Raw genomic sequence first — 21,985 nt, forward strand, 5'->3', positions numbered from 1 at the left:
TCATCCTGTGTCCCACTGGACCCTAGGCTCAATAAGGGTCAGAATTAGAATGTAAACCTTCCTTCATGATTCCCAAAGATAACATACAATGTGCCTAGCACAAGGCCAGATGCATTTTTGACACTTCATGTATTCAAGTTTACTCCTCTTCTCTCTCTACAAGTTATCTAAAATGTCGGTGCATAATTTTAGCTTGTTTCTTCTCCATCTTTAATTAAATATTCAAATGTTACTTAAGCTTTCCCCTGGGTCTTTTCTTAGGGATCATATCCTTCTGCTTGCAATTGGTTGGCATAATCCGTTTTCAATTTCTGTTTCAAAAATCTCCCTGTACTTCCTCCTCCTGTCATACCATCGTTCATGCTTTTGGTCCCTCTTGTAATTATTTCAGTTAATCATCACACAATGTAAACTGAATGCATTGAGAGGATGTTGTAAATATGTAATTTATAGCATAAAAATTCCAAAATAAAAACCAACATGCCTGGAAGGAACCCTGGGGTCAAAGGAAAAGGGCAGTGTTCAGTAATACACACAGTATGAGGAAGGCTTCTTAAAATGAAGTCAGTATTTTTCCCTGGATATTTTTCCATAGTTTTTTTCCCAGCTTTTGGGACTTTTTAAAAAAATGTGTTTTATACCAAAATATTGTGAATTTTTTTTGTTTCTAAATGCTAATGAAGTGTGAACTGATTTCTCTTATGAAAAAGCAAATGAGGAAGCTAAAATAAAAGTCTTTGGAAACTGATTTAAAGGAAAAAGACATTCTAGAGCCAGCATTGCAGCAAAGCCTTCTTTGTATGTGAGAAGCTGTATTAATGTAATCTGAAATAAAACACAAAAATTCCTGGAAATGAAAATGGAAATTACTCACATCAAGCACTCACAACAGCACAACAGGTTCTATAGCTCTAATGAATCTAAAATGGAAAGATATCAGAGGTGTAGATTAGTGTCATTGATCAACAGGATGAGTGTGAGCCAGCAGCCCACAGTTAATTCTCACTTGGATATCACTCAGAAAGATACTCTGAATAACTTTCTGGTATGTCTAGCAACTGGGGGCTAATAACTCTTTATCAGTCAAAAGTCAACACAGCAAAGAGATGAATAATGTGCTCTGGGTGTACCATTCTCTCTTCTCATTCTAAGTGCATTTTGTTTACCTGGCAAAGGAGAGCTTTCTTTACTTTCCCAGAATACCTTTTCTTTTAGGGGACAACTATTTGTAGAAATTGCAAGAATCTGGATGTGGAGAAGCCATTAGCTACCCTGTGGGTGACAGAATGCATTTGCACATTAAGAACAAGCAGAAAACCCAATCAACTGACATTCCTTGTCTAGATTGAAAAACAAACAAACAAACAAAAAAACTAGGCCAGATACAGCCAATAGATTTCAGATGCCAACTTAGTTTGATTGGCTGTAGCCTCCTGGAGTGTTAGGCTGAGAGGGATTGTGAACATGAGTCAGTTTAGAGAGAAAGAATTGCAGGAAGGATTAAGCAGGGGCGTGTGAGAGGGGCGAGGGATGAAGAGAGCTGATGAAGAAGAGTATGTGTTGATTAATTGCCATTTCCTTCAGTCAAGCACAAAGAGCAAGAGGCCGTGACTCATCTTCTAGTCCAGGAGGACGAGCACTTTGCATAGGTACTGCAGAATAGAATCCCACTTTGCAGAACTAGTAAGGAGCAACCAAGCATGCAGCTTTGGGAAACTGCAGCATTAATTATAGAGTGAATAGCAACATGGAAAGGAGATGTAAGAATGCCAGAGTTCCCATGACTGAGATATAAATGGTTATGCCAGTACAAAGTTGTTCTCCAGTATTCGTATAGTAATGAAAATAACCAGAGTATTTTAGGGCATTAATAGTAATAGAAATATGAATGAAATCATGCTATTGACTTATAGATTGTCTTCCTTCATTTGGGATGCTGTAGCAAAATATCATAAACTGTATGGTTCATAAATAACAGAAATGTCTTGCGCACAGTCCTGGAGGCTGGAAAGTCCAAGAACAAGGCACCAACAGATTTGGTGTCTAGGGAGGACCTGCTTTCTGGTTCACAAATGGCACCTTTTAATTTTGTCCTTGTGTGGTGGAAGGGGGCTAGAAAGCTTTTTAAGGCTGCTTTTACTAATCTCATTCATGAGAACTTTGTCCTCATGGCCTAATCACCTCCTGAAGGCCCTTCCTCCTAATACCATCACCTTGGGGGTTAGGATTTTCAGCATATGAATGGAAGGGGGTGAACATAAGCATTTCGACCATAGGACATATGCATTTGTCCTGAATATAAAGCAGTTTTTTACATGTCTATCTTAATAAATCCCCACAAGAACCACGTGAGGCTTAAAGAGTTTAGTGGCATTCCTAAGTAGTATAATCTACTGTTAAAATGTTAGAAAAGAGACCAGCTTGTACATTCTGATGTTAGATCTTGCGTTCTTTAGATTGCATTGTAGAATGTCCTATACCATATACATATATGGTGTGTGGTGTATAACATGATGTTTTGATATACTGTATGTATATAGTAATGATTACTATAGTGAAGAGTTCTAAGTGCAGGTTTTGCCATTGTGTAGTGTTCCGGCATTTCAAATTACTGAAATAACTGATACCAGCTATTTGGTTTCAAAAATATTTATCCTAATCAGGGAAGAGATTAGTTTAAATGTCAGTGCACAAGACATTAAATCCTCAACATCCTTAGTAATTAAAGATGCCTTTCTCAGATTTCTTGCTCTATTAGCACCTTAAAAACGTTCCAGACTTGGTAAAACTCATCCCTTTTAATACAGTGTAATGAAAATGACAACTTAATGTGAAAAAGAAATTTGGATTAATCAAATAAAAAATTAATGTTCTTATTGATACTTATTCAAAGAATAACTTAATAAACCATAATTGGAAGGACATGATCAACTTAGCAAACATAGCATTATTTTTTGGAGGATAAGCAGAGAGAAAAGTACAAGAGTAATTTAATTTTTAGTGAATATGGATGATACACAGAGATTGAAGAATGGAATATACACATTTGGGATAATCAGAGGAAACATAAGAAATAAGCTAAAATATTGGCAGTAGCTGATTTAAGATGATTCTAGCTTTCTCTTGTTTCTATTATTATCTACTTACCAACTTTCTTTGTTTTCTACATTATGTCTATATTCTATAAGACATGCACATTGTGCTCTTTGTAGGTATGATATCATGAATCTGCAGTACACTGAAGCTAATCGCTATGACTATGTGCACGTTGGAACCTGGCATGAAGGAGTGCTGAACATTGATGATTACAAAATCCAGATGAACAAGAGTGGAGTGGTGCGGTCTGTGTGCAGTGAGCCTTGCTTAAAGGGCCAGATTAAGGTAAGCCACAAATGCATTCTTGCATGGTATCTGTGAGGAGGTTGGCTGCCTGGACATTAGTAAAGAACAACACAGACAATTTTAAAAACATAACTGTCTAGAAAGGGTGTGCCAGGCTTACAGTTTTGGCTCTTGAGTTTAGGTAAAACTGAAAAGACAAAGATTAGGAAACAGAGTGAGTAAACTCTTAGAATATTTGCATAGTCTTTACTTGAATCACAATGATGGACTGGAATCTTTAACACAATCTTGGCAGGAAACGGATGAGTAATCAAATTTTAAAAATCAAAAACAGAAGTAAATGTGAAAACCAAAGTCAATAATAGTGCTTAGTCATAGTTCTAGCTATTGTTAAAGAAAGCAGAAGCTGAACAATGCTAAATAAGCAAACAACCAAAATACCAGAAGTTGAAATAGGGTAACACAGACTGCTTATCATTTTCCGTTTCTCTACCTAGTCCTTTGATTCTTTTGAAACTGGCATTTTTTTCTACAAAAGACAGCGTCCCCACTTTCTAACTATTTTCAGGAGCTATTTGGAGGGTGGGTGGGGCAAGTGAGTAACTATGACATCAGTATATATAGAAAATGACAACAAACAAGCATCAAATCCTCGGCGGGGTGTGCTAAAGAGGCTTCTTGATGAAGAAAGCATGGAGGCAACACTCTCTGTATCCCAGGCTATTTAAAACCAAACTGGGGGATGCGCTAGGAAATGGAGCATAGGGGAGGGATTGTGAATGGCAGGGTATGGATTAGATGACCTAATAGATCTTTCCCATCCCTAATTTTCTGTGATTCATCTTGAGGCACAGACAGGCTGTCACGTAAATGTCTCACAGCACAGCTGGAGCTGGGGTAGATCAGGCGTGAGGCTCTGGCTCCTGCCATGCTGACATGCCGCTGTACCATTCTTTGCTTGGGAGCTGCAAAAACACCCATGGAGGAGAGATGCTCTGATAAGTTCACTGAAGGGTCCCCAGGGCAAGAATCCAGTCATATAATGCTAAGTTTAGACAGAGGCTGGACATGCTTTATCTCAACTGACTAAAGAAAATGCAGGATCTGCAACCTGTACCAGCTTTTGGCAGCTGAGAAGAGCTATCCTGGTGGACTCAAATTCTCAGTCACTCCAGCCACTTGGACAAAGAAAGAAACTTCTGAGATGAGTCATCCTAGTTTTAGGTATCTTGTGCCTTCTCTGCAGAAGTTATATTAAAAATATTTGATAGTTGTTATGACAACCAGTCCATCAGCATAGACTCCATTCTCATGCTGTGACACAGTACTGGAGGCCTCATGCCATGGCTATGGTAAATCTTTGAGTTGGTGGATCATGGGAAGGTTTGGCCAATGTGTTCTACATGGCTGGGGTCATGTGGGGGATTCAGGAGACATGGAGACACTGCTAGCTTCCAAGCAGTGCAGAAGTATTTCAGTAGTCTAAGAATGTGTAAAAGTAGTATGTATGGGCTGATTCCTGACTAGGTGGAATACTTCCACATGAGGCTGCTGATGATATAAGGTATGTTCTCTGAAATCCACAGGCCCCACATTTCTCCTTGCCTGTTATCATGAGATGCCAGACCAAGGCATTCTGGTTGCATCATCTTTTCTGAATAGTGGGAAAAAACAGGATTATCTGTGGACTGAAGTCATAAGGTGGGGAGAGGACAGAAGCCCTGAGCACATGCACTTCTGCCACCCAAAGGATGTCACATGTTGGCTCAGGCTGCCTCTCCAGTGTGGGTGTAGCATTGAGTCTATTGTGCAGACAATTACTGGGAAACAGTTTTTGGAACTGCAAAGTTCAGTTTTGCAGGTTATATATGGAAAAAATAAAACCTGGCAGGAGAAAACAAATTGTTGCAAGGATTTGCTGTCCTCAAGCTCCCTTTCACAATTCCTTACTGTTACTCTGACTGCCAGGTGACCATGAATGGCTGCTCACATACCACGTGTGCTCCCCTTTACACCTTCCAGAGGAGAGGCCTTTGTTCTCCCCAGTTCAGGGGCAAGGCTGTCCGCATTTGTCCCTGCACCTAGACACTGAAGTGTTTCTGCCATCATGTTTGTGCTATGCCCATGCGTGTTATCGAAGGAGATCCCAGAAGTTGTTGCTGAGCCATTACAGAGCATTCACTATAAATGCAAAGCTCCTGGGGGCCAATTTTAGAAAATTGTATACCCTGCAGAAGGAAAATATGCATGCTCTCAATACCAACCTGGAATGGAGGTGAGGGGGGATGTTTGTTTTGTTTCTCATAAGCACCTTGGGAGGTATGGAAACAAATGAAATTTGAGTCGTATTTACCAAATAATATTATGCACATTCTAACATCACTAATTTGCCACCTACCAGGCCCAGGATGCATACAGCCAGATCAGTAGCCACTGTCAAGATATAAGAGAAACAGGCAGCTTGCAAGGTGATTGTAGGACATACACTTGTATTAACTGGGAAATACAGCCTTTAGGAAAGGGTTATTTTAAATATCAAATCCATTTAAACTGCTAAAATAATAATTTGATGTCTTTTCTGATAACCCACAGAACTTTCTTAAGATCATTTCCTTTGAAGTAGTCAAAAATCCAGTTTTCTTATGTTATTGATTTTTAGAATTATAAATATATCTTATAAATATAATATCTCATGGAAGAAGAGAAAAATTTTTGTCATACCACAAACACAGGTGAATAAAATAATACTTTTTATTGTTGTGTGTAACCTTAGGGTCCACTCAGGAAAAAAAGAGCCCATGTCAGATGGTTTACTAGGGGAAATTTAATAGAAGAAAATGGTCACAAAAGTAAAATGGGGTACTGAGGCAACTCAAAGGTGACCAACAGCAGCATCTACTCCCACTCCAGAGCTACAGGGACCAAAGGAAACCTCACAGCTACTACCTCTGAGCTATCCCTGAAGTGGGAGAGTGAGGGCACCCTGGTTTTTCTCTTCTGCCTCCCATTAGTTGCTCCTATTTTACCAAACCCATCCAGAAGACAGCTGGCAAGAGATCCTGGAAAATGTAGTTCACAAGTATCTTAGCTCAGGTTCCCTTGAACTTTACCAACTATGCAAGGATTAATTGCTAATACATTAATGGAAGATTCAATCCTAGAGAAACAAGAATAAGGGGGAAAGGGAAGTGAGGTATGGAAGGATGGGGAAAAGCAAAACAAACAAAACAAGGTGACATGTTATTGAGCAGGAGATTGCTTCACTGAGCATAACTAATCACGTGGCCTCAAGAGGTCACTGGATAGGCTACTTGGACTATTGGAGGAAGGATGGGAGAGGAATGAAAGTGTTCACTTCATCCTATGTTCTGCTTCGTGTGGCCAAAGTTTATGCTCACAGGAAGTTACAGGCAGCTACTGAGGAAGCCAGAGCCCAGGACTTGTAACACAACACTTCTTCAGATTCTGAAAGCAATGTGAGGAGTGAGAGCCTAGGTGGGTCTCCTATGGTCTGACCTGGGTCCTGCTATGGTGAGTCCAACAGGGGCAGTTCTGGAGCCCAGAGCCTACTCAAAGGGAGAGAGAGACAGCAAGAGATGACAGAAGATGAACGAGCAGTGACTGAGACTGCAGTAGCAGTCATAACAGCAATGTCTAGAACTCTCCGAGTGCTGATAGCCAAGGGCCCAAGACACAAGTACAGCCAAAGAGAGTCTGGGGCAACAGATAAAATCTGAACAGTGTTATGCAAGCAAACATCAGGGGCCTTGTGTGTGTGCTGGTCTCACATACAGAACCCACTGCTGTTTTCCTTGCTGTAGTGAAGGACAGGAAAGGGGTAGAAAGGGGAGGAAAGGTAAAGGAAAAGAAAATGCTGGAAAGGAGAAGGGAAGTAATGGAGATCAGGGACTAACATTGGTCAAGTATGTTCATAAGCAAGTACAATAGATGATTTACAGACATCATTTCAATTACTCCTTAAAAGGACCCTTTTAAAGCAGGTATTATCATCCCCCCATTTTATAGACGAGGGAATCTGAGACCCAGAGGGATTGAGTCACTTGCCCCTAAGCTCTCTCAGCTAGAAAGTGCCAAAGCTGGGCTTGGAGCCAGCTCAAAGCTGTTATCATCCCACGGACACATGTTGTTCAACTATCTTTCATTATATGAACTGGCACATTTCCTTCAAATGCATATTTCAATTTCTAAGCCTTTATTTTTTCAATAGCTCACAATAAAATCATAAGTAATAATCCACTTTTAAAATGCCGAGGGAACAGAATCCAGAATTCAGCAAGCAATATTTGTGAAGGAGGCTGGAAGAGTTTAATAGAGACTGAGACATTGACAGAGAAGTGAGGGAAAGGATACTGAAGATTGATTTCACTGGCCTCCTGTTCTTTCTTCCCCTCTCTCCTCTCTCTGCTCTCTTCTCCTGCTTTCTTTTTCGTCTTAAGTTTGTATTTGAATTCTTTTCTCCAAGACGTTGGTTTTGGGTTGGGAGGTTGCAGTAAGAGAATAGAGGTAACCTTACCTCTTCTTATCATCACCCAGCCAATCATGACAGAATTCTGGAGATATTAGGTGAATGTGGCACACATCATAAATGTTTCTCCTCATTTACACATGCCCTATTGCTGTAAAGTGGCACCTTATTTATATAGAACAAAGTCCACTTACACATATCTTACACACTGTAGACTTTAGAATTAACTGTTTTCATTTATGAAATAAGACATTCCGGCCGGGTGCGGTGGCTCACGCCTGTAATCCCAGCACTTGGGGAGGCTGAGACAGGCAGATCACGAGGTCAGGAGATCGAGACAATCCTGGCTAACATGGTGAAACCCCATCTCTACTAAAAATACAAAAAGTTAGCCAGGTGTGGTGGCAGGCGCCTGTAATCACAGCTACTCAGGAGGCTGAGGCAGGAGAATGGCATGAACCTGGGAGGCAGAGCTTGCAGTGAGCCGAGATAGCGCCTAGGTGACAGAGCGAGACTCCATCTCAAAAAAAAAAAAAAAAAAAAAAGACATTTCATCTGATTTTTTGGAATTATCTACTAGAGACATAAAATTTTCATCTTAAAAGGCATTAGAAATGTGGCCCTAAGAAAAGAAGACTGCTTAATTTAAACCTCTAGCGTGCTCCTTGCTCAATTTTAGCTTCTTATATGACTGATTTTTTCATGGGTGAGCAAAGAGGCCAAAGAGCAGATTCATTGAGAATCAAAGCAAAGGGAACATGATCATTCTCATTACGACCTAAGATACGCTTAAAAATGGATGGAACTAAGAGAGTCCACTAAGAAACCATTTATATTTGGCTGGAATTGGAACGTTAAATGTGCCCAGGTTTGTGCTGCAAGCATTATTAAATAATGCTGCTACAGGAGTTCGTATCTGGCTTTTCCTGTTAGTAGATATAGCTACTTGAGACAAATTGCCAGTGGAGAAAACTTATAATTTCTAATAATATCCTTCTTTAAAAAAATTAAATTGCTCATATTAATTTTCAGATCGACACCTTTCACCATAGGCCATTGATTAAAATGTAGCCAAGTTATGTTCGGTCATGTCTCTTCAAGCCTCTGCAGAGATTGGAGTTAGGGTCTCAGATTCCAGAGCATTTGTCATCAGCAACCTAAGATCCTTCCTTAGCTCCCTTATTTTAATATCATTTCCCTCTTCCTCTGTACATTTTCCTGCTATTCAAAGAGCTCTCTATATTTACAGTTGCTTAGTTAACCTAGCTTCTGCATTACTGGGTAAAAGATGCTGTTTATCTGGAAGCTTGGATACCCATTCTTGACCACAATAGTCAAGCAATTAGTACAACCCTACCTTTCCTGATAATAAGAAAAGGAATGTGATAAGGTGAAAGTTGATCTCTAGAACGTAATATAAAATCTATGTGTATGTGTCTATGTATGTGTATGTATGTATACATATGTGTGGGTATATTATTAATATATTTCTACTATGTGTAATCAGTCCTTCCTGTTGCTTTATACAGAAACAGCTACATAAAATAGGTGTGTTCTCAGCTATTTAAATGGATGATGTCCTCAAGGAGAAAAACAACTTTAATAATGTGATAGATGAAACTTGTATTCTATGGAAATCAGCTAGATGAACTTTGAAAAGCCTTATCATTTCCACTTTGCAGTGATCGAAACATTGCAACATGTTTGTCCAAATATAGGATAACAAAAATATGCTATAACACCATTTCCTGATAAGAGCTACCACTCAAAAGATATTGCCCCTCTGTTCTCACTGGCAGTGGTTGGAAGGTTGAGGAAATGGCAGCCTAAAAAGGCAGGGGAAAATGAGGTTGGGAAGAGGATAGACGACGCATCCGCTTCTACCTTTCCTATTCTCACACTGAATCCAAGTAGCTCATCTGCTGATTTGCTTCTAGGTCACATTGTAAATCATGCTGGGTTGACGATTTTATACTCAATTTTTCCATCTGCAATTGCTCCCAGTTCAGAGTTTAAAGTGTGTCACATTGTGACTGTATTTCCTTTTACCTCTAGCTATTTATTTTTGTTTTTAGGGGCTACACCATAGAATATAGAAATAGTTTCTTTCTCCTCCAGTGCATGTGCTTCAAAATTGCTTGTATGCATTTGCTTTCCTCCACGACAGTGTGAGGAGGAATTTTGTCTTGAATATGATAGCAAGAGAATTGTTTAGACCGAAATCTACCTCAAGTAAATTATCCTATTCTGCAAACAATCATCACTATCTGATTACTACCTGATTGGCACTGGCATATCATGATCCTGTCCCCATGACCCACTCCAGCCAGCCCAGCTGGCTATAGCTTAATGAGATTATTCCTTTTTCTTTAACTATTTCATGCCTACTAACGTGGATTATCTTTGAACACTTTTTACATCTGTAATGAGTATTTTTATTCTTGTCCAGCTGTGTCTTAAAATTTTGACCAAATTAATGAATACCTCTCTTTTGTTCTCATTTTGAAACATAAAAGAAAATATTAAAAAATAGTACAATAGTTACTCGCATATCCACCAATCTCATTCCAGAATTATAAATCTTTTACCACATCACGCCTCTCTCTCTCTGTCTGTCTTTCTCCCTCTTCTTCTATTTTTTTTTTTTTTGGAACAATTTAAAGGGTAGAAATATCATCAAATTTTATACCTTAATACCTCAGCTTACATCTTCTAATAAGGACAATTCTCGTATAATTATCAAACCAGCTAAGAAAGTTAACAATAACATCTTCAGCCGTAACTGTCACATCCACCTCAGCTTTTTTCCCTCTTTGTGAATCAAAACAAACTAACCATCTAAATCATATAGTTAATGTAACCATTTTGGCATCCAGTAAAACAATGATTCAGTTCCTCCACTGTGTAATATCTTCTCAATTCTACTGCAAAATGGCAAGTTCTGAGTACAAATTGCCCACAGGCATATCAAAGAATCTTGTACTTGAGAAGTCTATAATTATGTAATGATGAGATCTGCCTGTGCTACTAAAATTTTGAAAAGGAATTGAAGTCCAAACATTGTCTTTAGTGTCTTGTTGTGAATGTAAAAAAAAAAAATGAAATTACTGTAGTATCTTTGAATGAGGGGGAAACTTTGCAAACACAGTCATAGTGAAAAATTCCATGGAAATATCATTAATTTATCCACAACCACTATGAGTAATGCCCACACCTTCACCACTCCCACTCAGACCTATATCTGTGCTGTTCTCTTGGTCACTGAACTTTTTTGTTATTACCTCAGATCCAGCCCCTTCGTCACTTTCAGGGACAGATCCCCATGGAGAAATGCTGTGAATCATGGGCTATTGGGCAGAACAGGGGACACAGCAAGGCTGACATGTCTTTGGTGGCAGTGATGTAAGTGAGCCACATTTGATTTTTTAAGTAGACATTTATTAAAGTATAATATACACACAGAAAAGTAGCGGAGGGCAGCACAAGTATGAAAATGCAGGGTACTCATCCTACCTAGCCTTGCTCTAGCTGTCCCCTCTGCCTAGAACACTCTTTCACCAGATAGCTACGCCCTTTCCCTCCCTCAAGATTTTACTTAAGTGGCAACATCTTAGCGGGACCTTACCTGACCACCATATGCAAAATGGTAACCCCGTATTTCAGGTGTCTTCCTATCAGGACGAGGACCAGAGTGAGGCAGGCACCTATGGTACAGACTTCAAGGAGGCGGTCACTCTCAAGGTCCTGAAAGCTGGGTGAGGACTTGCACGTCCCTGAGGGAGAAAGTCTCTTTAAATTTGGTCCCTGGACATTTCCCTTGCCTCATCTTGGTTTCTCCCCTGTGACCTATTCCTCTTTCTTGCTTTAGTTTTTCCAAAGCCTTTTTTTGTAGAATGACAGCTCCTCAAAGGTGGGGATAGTATGTTTTGTTCACTGATTATTTTGAGCTTTGATACAGTGCCTGACACATTGCATGTAGGCTAGGCAATCAAATGCATATTTCAAATGAATGAATGAATGAATGAGTCAATGAATGACTGAATAAATATGCTCTCCATAGGCATTTTTATTGACACATAATAATCGTACATATTTATGGGATACACATGATATTTTAAAACATGCACACAATGTGTAATGATCAAATCTGGGTCAGTGGGATATCCATCTCCTCAAATATTTATCATTTCTTTGTGTTTGGGAATATTCCAATTGTTCTCTTCTAGCCATTTTAAAATATACAATAAATTATTGTTAACTATAGTCCCCCTATTGTGCTATCAAACACTAGCATTTATTTTTTCTATCTAACTGTATTTTTATACGCATTAACCAGTCTCTCTTCATTCACCCCTCTCCTTTCCCCTTCCCAGCCTCAGGTAATCAGCATTCTATTTTCTACCTCCATGAGACCAACTTTTAAAACTCCCACATATGAGTAAGAACATGCAACATATTTCTTTCTGTGCTTTGCTTATTTAACATGATTTCCTCCAGGCTCATTCATGTTTCTGCAAATAACAGGATTTCATATACCTATTGGCCATTTGTATATCTTCTTTTGAGATATGTCTAGGTTTTTTTCCCCATTTTTAAAATCAGGTTATTTGTTTTCTTGCCCTTGAGTTGTTTGAGTTATTTACATATTCTGGTTATTAATCTGTTGTTGAATGGATAGTTTGCAAATATTTTTGCCCATCCTGTAGGTTGTCTCTTCACTGTGTTAATTGTTTCCTTTGCTGTGAAGGAGCTTTTTAGCTTGATATAATCTCATTTGTCTATTTTTGCTTTTGTTGCCTGTGCTTTTGAGGTTTTATCCAGAAAATCTTTGCCGAGACCAATGTCTTGAAATATTTCCCCAATATTTTCCTCTAGCAGTTTCATAGTTTCAGCTCTGACATTTAAGTCTCTAATCCATTTTGAATTTACTTTTGTATATAGTGAGAAATAGGGGTTTAGTTTTTTTTTCTTCTGCATATGAATATCCATATTTTCCTAGCACCATTTATTAGAGACTGTCCTTCCCCCAGTGTATTTTCTTGGAGTCTTTGTAGAAAATAAGATGGTTGTAAATATGTGAACTCATTTCTGGACTCTCTCGTCTGTTCCACTGGCCTATGTGTCTGTTTTTATGCCAGAATCATGCTGCTTTAATTAACTACCTGTGTAGTGTATGTTGAAGTCAGATAGTGTGATGTCTCCAGCTTTGTTCTTTTGCTCAAGATTGTTTGGTTATTTGGATTATTTTGTGGTTCCATGAGAATTTTAGGATTTTTTTTTCTATTTTTATTTTTTACTTTTATTTTAGCTTCCCAGAGGGTACAGTTTTTTACATGGATAAATTGCATGCCACTGAGGTTTGGTGTAGGGATGATCCAGTGGCCCAGTTGGAGAGCTAGTACCAGACAGGAAGTTTTTCAACCCATGGCCCCCATAGTAGTAGTCCCCAGTGCCTGTTGTTGCCATCTTCATGTCCATGTTTACCGAGTGTGTAGCTCCTGCTTATAAATGAGAACCTGCAGTGTTTGCAAGTTTTCTATTCCTGAATTAGTTTGCTTAGGATGATGGCCTCCAGCTGCATCTGTGTTGCTGCAAAGGACATGATTTTTCTTTTTTATGGCTGTGTAGTATTTTACAGTGTGTATGTACCTCATTTTTCTTTATTCAGTCCACCATTGATGGGCATCTAGCTTGATTCTGTGTTTTTGCTGTTGTGAATAGTGCCATGATGAACACATGAATACATGTGTCTTCTGTGAAGATTGCTATTGGTATTTTGATAAGGATTGCATTAAATCTGTAGATCACTTTGGGTAGTATAGACATTTAAACTATCTTATTTCTTCCAAGCGTGAACATGGAATATCTTTTTATTGTTTTGTGTCCTCTTCAATTTCTTTCATCAGTGTGTTATAGTTTTGATTGTAAAAATATTTTATCTCTTGGGTTAAATTTATTTACAGGTATTTTTTGGTAGCTACTTTAAATGAAAAATGCTTTTTTATTTCTTCTTCAGATTGTTCACTATTGGCATATAGACATGCCACTAATATTTGTATGTTGATGTTGCATCCTGCAAATTTCCTGAATTCATTTATCATTTTCTACAGTTTTTTTTTGGGGGGGGGGGTAGAATCTTTAGATTTTTCTAAATAGATTATTATGTCATCTGCAAACAAGTTCAATTTGACTTCTTCCTTTCCAATTTGGATGCCCTTTATTACTTTCTCTTGCCTAATTTCTCTGGCTAGAACTTCCAGTACCATGTTGAATAAAAATGGTGAAAGTGGGCAACATTACCTTATTCCATATCTTAGAAGAAAAAGATTTCAATTTTTCCCTATTCAGTAAAATGTCAGCTGTGGATTTGTTCATATATGGCCTTATTATGTTGACAGACATTTCTTATATAACTAATTTGTCGAGAATTTTTATTATTAAGTGATGTTGAATTTTATCAAATACTTTTTCTGCATCTATTGAAATGATCATATCGTTTTTGTTCTTCATTATGTTGATGTGGTATTAAACCATCCTTGAATCCCTGAGATAAATCCCAATGGATTGTAGTTAAAAATCTTTTTGATGTACTGTGGAATTTGGTTTGCCAGTATTTTGTTGAGGATTTTTGCATTTATGTTTATCAGGGATATTGGCTTGTAGCTTTCTTTTTTGTTGTGTCCTTGTGTGGTTTTTGTATCAGGATAATGATGGCTTTGTAGAATGAATTTGGAAGAATTCACTTCTCTTCAATTTTTTGGAATAGTTTGAGAATAATTAATACTGGTCTTCTTTAAAAGTCCAGTAGAATTCAGCAGTGAATTCATCTGATCCAGGACTTTTCTTTGTTGAGAGATTTTTATTACTGATTCAATCATTTTACCCATTATTGGTGTGTTCAGGCTTTCCATTTCTTTATGGTTCAATCTCAGTAGGTTATATGTATTCAGGAAATTATCCATTTATTCTAGATTTCCCAATCTGTTGGCATATAGTTATTCACAATGGTCCTCTGTATTTCTGTGGTATCAATTGTGGTGCCTTTTTTTCATCTCTGATTTTATTTATTTGGGTCTTCTCTCTTTTTTTCTTAGCTTGTCTAGTTAAAGCTGTGTCCACTTTGTTTATCTTTTCATAAAACTAATTTTTTAATCTGTTTTAGTTTTTATTAGTTTCATATTTCTACTTTGATATTTATTATTTATTTTCTTCTACTAATTGGGGGTTTGGTTTGCTCTTGCTTTTCTAGTTCTTTTAGGTGCATTATGAGGTTGTTTATTTGAAGTTTTTCTACCTTTTTGATGTAGGTATTTATTGCTGTAAACTTCCCTTTCAGTGCTGCTTTTGCTATATACTGTAGGTTTTGGTATCTTGTGTTTCCACCTTTATTTGTTTCTCAATTTTTAAATTTTCTTCTTAATTTATTCATGGACCTATTGGTCATTCAGTAGCGTGTCATTTATTTTCCCTGTAGTTTTACAGTTTCCAAAATTACTCTTGTTATTGATTTCTGGTTTTATTCTATTGTGATCTGAAAAGATGTATGATATAATTTTGATTTTTTTTCTGATTTTGGGGTCTTATTTTGTCACCCAATGTATGGTCTATCCCAGAGAATGTTAGATGTACTGCTCGTAAGAAGAATATGCACTCTGTAGCAGTTAGATAGAGTGTTCTGTAAATGTCAGTTAGGTCCATTTGGTCTAAAATGTAATTTAACTCCAATGTTTCTTTATTGATTTTCTGTCTGAATGATTGGTCCATTGCTAAAAGTGGAGTGTTGAAGTCTCCAACTATTACCGTATAGCAGTCTATCTGTCTCTTTATGTCTATGAATGTTTGCTTTGTATATTTGGGTGCTCTGATGTTGGATGCATAGATATTTACAACTGTCATATCCTCTTGTTGAATTGACCCCTTTATCATTATAAAATAGCCTGCTTTGTCTCTCTTTACAGTTTTGACTTGAAGTCTGTTTCATCTGATATGAGTATAGCTATTCTTGCTCTTTTAAAGACTCAGCCTTTCTTGATGTTGTGCAAGTTTAAGTGAAGACTTGCATATAACTGAAGGAAAGGTATCTAACTTTGTTCCCTAGGCCCTTTTCTTTCTTCACCTCTGTTTCTGCTCTGTACCCTATTTCTTTTTCTTGATTTAGTTTTCTCCATAGCCTTTTTCCAGAATGACAGCTCCTCATGGGTAGTGACATTATCTGCTTTGTTCACTGATTATTTCTAACCTTGACATAGTGCCTGGTGCATTGTAGGCACTCAAATAGAATTTTGGATGAGTGAATGAATGAATGGTGAATGAAGGAATTAATGAATAACTGAATAAATATCTCTTCATTGGCATTTTATTTCCCCTTCTAGAGATATACTTAATCCATTGTATAAGATTTTTGAGCTCTTTAACTTCAATAATCGGGTCTTTCCATTTATTTATTCCCATGCATAACATCATGTGGGCCACAGCGGGTCACTAAACAGAAGTTGATTAATTGAATATATATATGCCAACCCCTGAGATACAATTTTGGCTCTCAGAATAATCTGTCATCATGCTGGCAGCCATTGTGATACTGGGAAGAGCCTAATTCTTGGAAATAACTTGACTGAGGCTTGTGCAAGGTATTGGGTCCATCTACACGTCCCCTCATTTGCAAAATGTACACAATTAACTGCACCCTGTGGAGTAATCAAGATTCGTGTAATTCTATATAGAGTGCCTAGCACATAGTTTGACTTAATATATGTCAACTTTTTGATCATTTTATGTTCTTACCATTTTATTATACTTTGTCGGTGATAAATTACAATGTAGTCCTACATTGTATGATATGTTTATGTAGTTCTATGTCTCTTTTATTCCAATTGAATTCTTCATTTCCATTTTTTCTTTCTCTCATAGTCTATATTATTGCCTTCCATTCTTTCACGTACATTGTTGAGTAACTGATATGTGCCAAAAACTGTGCTAGCACTGTGAATGCAAAGGAAATAAACATGGCCTCTTCTTTTGAGGAACTCATAGTGTAACTGGGGAAAAACGGATCAGTAATTAGATTCTATTGTTGCCCAAGCTCTCAAAGAGGATATGAAGTGCTATAGGGACACAGGCTAGTGGAGCTAGCTCCTTTCTCTTACAGCTGACTCTCCCACAGTTCTTTTTACTTTTTATTTTAATTTTTAATTTTTATGGGTACATAGTAGGTATATATATTTATGGGGTACATGAGATGTTTTGACACAGGCATACAATGTACAATGAGTGCATCATGGAGAATGCGGTATTCCTTCCCTCAAGCATTTATCCTTTGAGTTACAAACAATCCAATTACAATCTTTACGATATTTTAAAATGTAAAATCCAGTTATTATTGACTATAGTCACCCTACGGTGCTATCAAATAGTAGGTTTTATCCATTCTATTTCTTTTGTACTCATTAACCATCCCCATCTCCTCCCCATGCCCCAACTACTCTTCCCAGCCTCTGGTAGCCATTCTTCTACTATGTCCGTGAGTTCAATTGATTTGATTTTTAGATCCCGCAGATAAGTGGGAATATGTGATGCTTGTGTTTCTGTGCCTGGCTTATTTTACTTAACATAATAATCTCAAGTTCCATCCATGTTGTTGCAAATGACTGGATCTCATTCTTTTTTATGGCTGTATAATACTCCATTGTGTATATGCATTACCTTTTCTTTAAATTCACCTGTTGATGAACATTTAGGTTGCTTCCAAATCTTAGCTATTAGAAAAAGTGCTACAACAAACATAGGAGTGCAGATATCTCTTCAATATACTGATTTCCTTTATTTTGTGTACTTAGCAGTGTCATTGCTGGATCAGATGGTAACTCGATGTTTAGTTTTTTTAAGGAAACTCCAAACTATTCTCCATAGTGATTGTACTAATTTACATTCCCATGAACAGTGTACAAGGATTCCGTTTTCTTCTCATCTTCGCCAGCATTTGTCATTGCCTGTCATTTGGATATAAACCATTTTAACTGGGGTGAGATGATATCTCATTGTAGTTTTGATTTGCATTTCTCTGATGATCAATGATGTTGAGCACTTTTTCTTATGCCTGTTTGCCATTTGTATGTCTTCTTTTAAGAAACATCTATTCAAATCTTTTGTCCGTAGTTTGATTGGATTATCAGATTTTTTTCCTATAGAGTTATTTGAGCTCCTTATACATTCTGGTTATTAATTCCTTCCTAGATGGGTAGTTTGCAAATATTTTCTTCCATTCTGTGGGTTGTCTTTTCATCTTATTGATTGTATCTTTTGCTGTGAAGAAGATTTCTTACTTGATGTGATCCCATTTGTCCATTTTTGCTTTGGATGCCTATGCTTGTGGGGTATTGCTCAAGAAATTTTTGCCCAGATCAATGTCCTGGAAATGTTCCCCAATGTTTTCTTGCATTTTCATAGTTTAGGTCTTAGATTTAAGTCTTTAATTGATATTTATTTGATTTTTGTGTATGGGGAGAGGTAGGGGTCTAGTTTCATTCTTCTGCATAGGAAAATCCAGTTTCCCCAGCACCATTTATTAAAGATGATGTCTTTTTCCTAGTGTGTGTTATTGGTACCTTTGTCAAAAATGAGTTTACTGCAGGTGTGTGGATTTGTTCCTGGATTCTCTATTCTGATGAATTGGTCTATGTGCCTGTTTTTATGCCAGTACTCTGCTGTTTTGGTTATTATAGCTCTGTAGTATAATTTGAAGTCAGGTAATGAAATGTGGTTTCTCCAGTTTTGTCCTTTTTGCTTTAGATAGCTTTGGTTATTCTGGGTTTTTGTGGTTCTATACAAACTTTAGGATAGTTTTTTCTATTTCTATGAAAAATGAAATTGGTCTTTTGAAAGGGATTGCATTGACTCTGTCAATTGCTTTAGCTAGCATGGGCATTTTAACGATATTGGTTTATTCTAATCAATTAACATAAAAATTTTTCAATTTTTGGGTGTCCTCTTCAATTTCTTTCATCAGCGTTTTATAGTTTTCATTATAGAGATCTTCCACCTCTTTTGTTAATTCCTAGGTATTTAATTTTATGTGTGTGTATTAGTCTGTTCTCCCACTGCTATAAAGAACTACCTGCCACTGGGTAATTTATAAGGAAAAGAGGTTTAAATATGCTCATGGTTTTGTGGGTTGTACAGGCTTCTGATTCTCAGAAAACTTACAATCATGGCAGAAGGTGAAGTGGAAGCAGGCGCACCTGAACATGGCTGGCAGAAAAGAGAGAAAGTGAAGGGGGAAGTGCTACACACTTTTGAACAACCAGATCTCATGAGAACTCTATCGTGAGACAGCACTAGGAGGGATGATGATAAACCATTAGAAACCACCCCCATGAGTCAATCGCCTCCCATCAGACCCCTTCTGCCACACTGGGGATTACAATTTGATATGAGATTTGGGGATGGGGGCGGACACAGAGCCAAACCATATCAGTGTGGCTATTGTAAATGAGATTACTTTTTTATTTCCTTTTCACATTGTTCATTGTTGTTGACATATAGAAATGCTACTGATTTTTGTATGTTGATTTTGTATCCTGCAACATTATTGAATTGGTATATAAGTTCTAATAGTTTTATTGTGCAGTCCTTAGGTTTTCCCAAATATAAGATCATATCATCTACAAACAAGGACAATTTGACTTCTCCCTTTCCAATTTGGATGCCCTTTATATCTTTCTCTTGCCAGACTGCTGTAGTGAATACTTCCAGTACTATGTTGAAAAGCAGTGCTGATAGTGAGTATCCTTGTTGTGCTCCACATCTTAGAGGAAAGGCTTTCAGTTTTCCCCCATTCAGTATGATACTATCTGTGGGTCTGTAATACATGGCTTTTATGATGTTGAGATATGTTCCTTTTATCCCCAGTTTTGAGGAGTTTTATTAAGAAGAGAAGTTGAATTTTACCAAATGCTGTTTATGCATCAATTTAAATAATCATATGGTTTTTATCCTTTATTCTGTTGATATGATGTATCGGTATCGCATTGATTAATTTGCATATATTGAACCATCCCTGCATCCCAGGGATAAATCCCTCTTGTTCATCATGAATGATCTTTTTAATGTATTGTTGAATTCTGTTTGCTACTATTTTGTCGAGGATTTTTGCATCAATATTCATCAGAAATAATGGCCTGTAGTTATACTTTTTTGATGTATCTTTATCTGGTTGTGATATCAGGGTAATATTGGCCTTATAGAATGAGTTTGGAAGTATTTTCTCCTCCTCTATTTTTTGTTATAGTTTGAGTAGAATTGGTATTAGGTTTTCTTTAAATGCTTGATAGAAATCAGCAGAGAAGCAAACAGGTCCCTGGCTTTTATTTACTGGGAGACGTTTTATTACGGCTTCAATCTTGTTACTTGTTATTGTTCTGTTAAGGCTTTGGATTTCTTCCTGGTTCAATCTTGGTAGGTTGTGTGTATCCACGGATTTGTCTATTTCTTCTAGATTTTTAAAATTTATTGGCATACAGTTGTTCATAGTAGCCAGTAATGATCCTTTGAATTTCTGCAATATTAGTTGTAATGTCTCTTTTTTCATTTCTGATTTTTATTTATTTGGATCTTCTCTCTTTTTTTGTTAGTTTGACTAAAGTTTTTCAACTCTGTTAACTTTTCAAAAAACCAACTTTTTGTTTCATTGATGTTTCATATTGTTGTTTTTCATTTCAATTTGATTTATTTCTATTCTGATCTTCATTATGTTTTTCTTCTACTAATATTGGCTTTGGTTTTCTCTTGCTTTTTTAGTTCCTTAAGATGCACTGTTAGATTGTTCATTTAAAGTTTTTTTCTCTTTTTTGATGTAGGCACTTACAGCTATAAACTTCCCTCTTAATACTGTTTTTGCTATCCACACTATCCATAGGTTTGGTATATTGTGTTTTTATTATAATTCATTTCAATAAATTTTTCAATTTCCTTGTTAATTTCTTTATTGACCCACTAGTCATTCAGTAGCATATTGTTTAATTTCCACGTAGTTTGTGTAGTGTCCAGAATTCCTCTTGTTATTCATTTCTACTTTTATTCTGTTGTGATCAGAGAAGATCCTTGATATTATTTAAATTTTTTGAATGTATTAATACTTGTTTTGTGACATAATGTATGATCTATCCTTGATAATGACTCATTATCAAGAAAGAGGAAGAGAGGAAGTGCTGAGAAAGAGTGTGTATTCTGCAGCTCTTAGATGAAATCTTCTGTAATTATCTATTAGATCCATTTGTTTTATAGTGCAGATTAAGTCTGATGTTTCTTTGTTGATTTTCTGACTGAAAGATCTGTCTAATGCTGACAGTGGGTTGTTGAAATCTCCAGTCATTATTGTATTGGGGCCTGTCTCTCTCTATAGCTCTAATAATATTTCCTTTACCTATCTAGGTGCTCCAGTATTTGGTTCATATATGTATAAAATTGTTATATTCTCCAGTTGAATTGACCCTTTTATCATTATATAGTGACCTTCTTTGTCTCTTCTTATAGTTTTTGTGTTAAAATTATATTGTGTTATATGAGACCGATGCTCTTTTTTGGTCTCCATTAGCACGGATTATCTTTTGCCATCCTTTTATTTTCAGTCTAACCATGTCTTTATAGGTGAAGTGTGTTTTTTGTAGGCAGCAGCTTTTAGTCAGTCTATGTCTTTTGATTGGAGAATCTAGTCCATTTACATTCCATGTTATTATTGATAAATAAGGACTTATTCCTACCATTTTGTTATTTGTTTTCTGGTAGTTTTATGGTCTTCCCTCCCTTCTCTCTTTCCTTCCTTCCTGTTTTCCTCTAGTGAAGGTAATTTTCTCTGGTGGCATGAATTAATTTCTTGCTTTTCTTTTTTGTGTGTGTTTCCATTGTATGTTTTTTGTTTTAAGGTTACAATGAGGCTTGCAAATACTATCTTATAACCTATTGTTTTAACCTCATAACAACTTAACACTGTTTCAATAAACAAACAAAAAAGAAAACTAATAAAAACGATATGCCTTAACTTTGTATCCCTGCTTTTAAACTTTTTGTTGTTTCTATATTTATCTTATTATATTGACTATGTCTTGAAAAGTTGTGGTATTTATTACTTTTGATTGGTTCATTATTTAGTTTTTCTACTTA

The 21,985-nt window shown here is 36.8% G+C and overlaps 1 protein-coding gene across 8 annotated transcripts in view, besides 1 other annotated feature; it reads left to right on the forward strand.

The window, feature by feature from the left end:
- Positions 1-21,985, forward strand: part of GRM1 (glutamate metabotropic receptor 1) — a 409,895-nt gene that overhangs the window by 326,607 nt on the left and 61,303 nt on the right. For all 8 annotated transcript variants that reach the window (NM_001278065.2, XM_017010784.2, XM_011535782.2 and 5 more), the window contains one exon: positions 3,213-3,381. In NM_001278065.2, coding sequence (NP_001264994.1) covers positions 3,213-3,381 — 169 coding nt within the window. The remainder of the gene's footprint in view (positions 1-3,212; positions 3,382-21,985) is intronic.
- Positions 3,371-4,570: an enhancer, noted in NCBI's record as "MED14-independent group 3 enhancer chr6:146678820-146680019 (GRCh37/hg19 assembly coordinates)". NCBI's record gives its function as "activates an origin of replication core promoter dependent on BRD2, BRD4, P300/CBP and CDK7 cofactors, and independent of MED14, by STARR-seq in HCT116 cells {active_cell/tissue: HCT116}" and the evidence as "EXISTENCE:reporter gene assay evidence [ECO:0000049][PMID:35650434]".

This window comes from Homo sapiens, chromosome 6, assembly GCF_000001405.40.
Source record: "Homo sapiens chromosome 6, GRCh38.p14 Primary Assembly".
Lineage (NCBI taxonomy): Eukaryota > Metazoa > Chordata > Mammalia > Primates > Hominidae > Homo > Homo sapiens.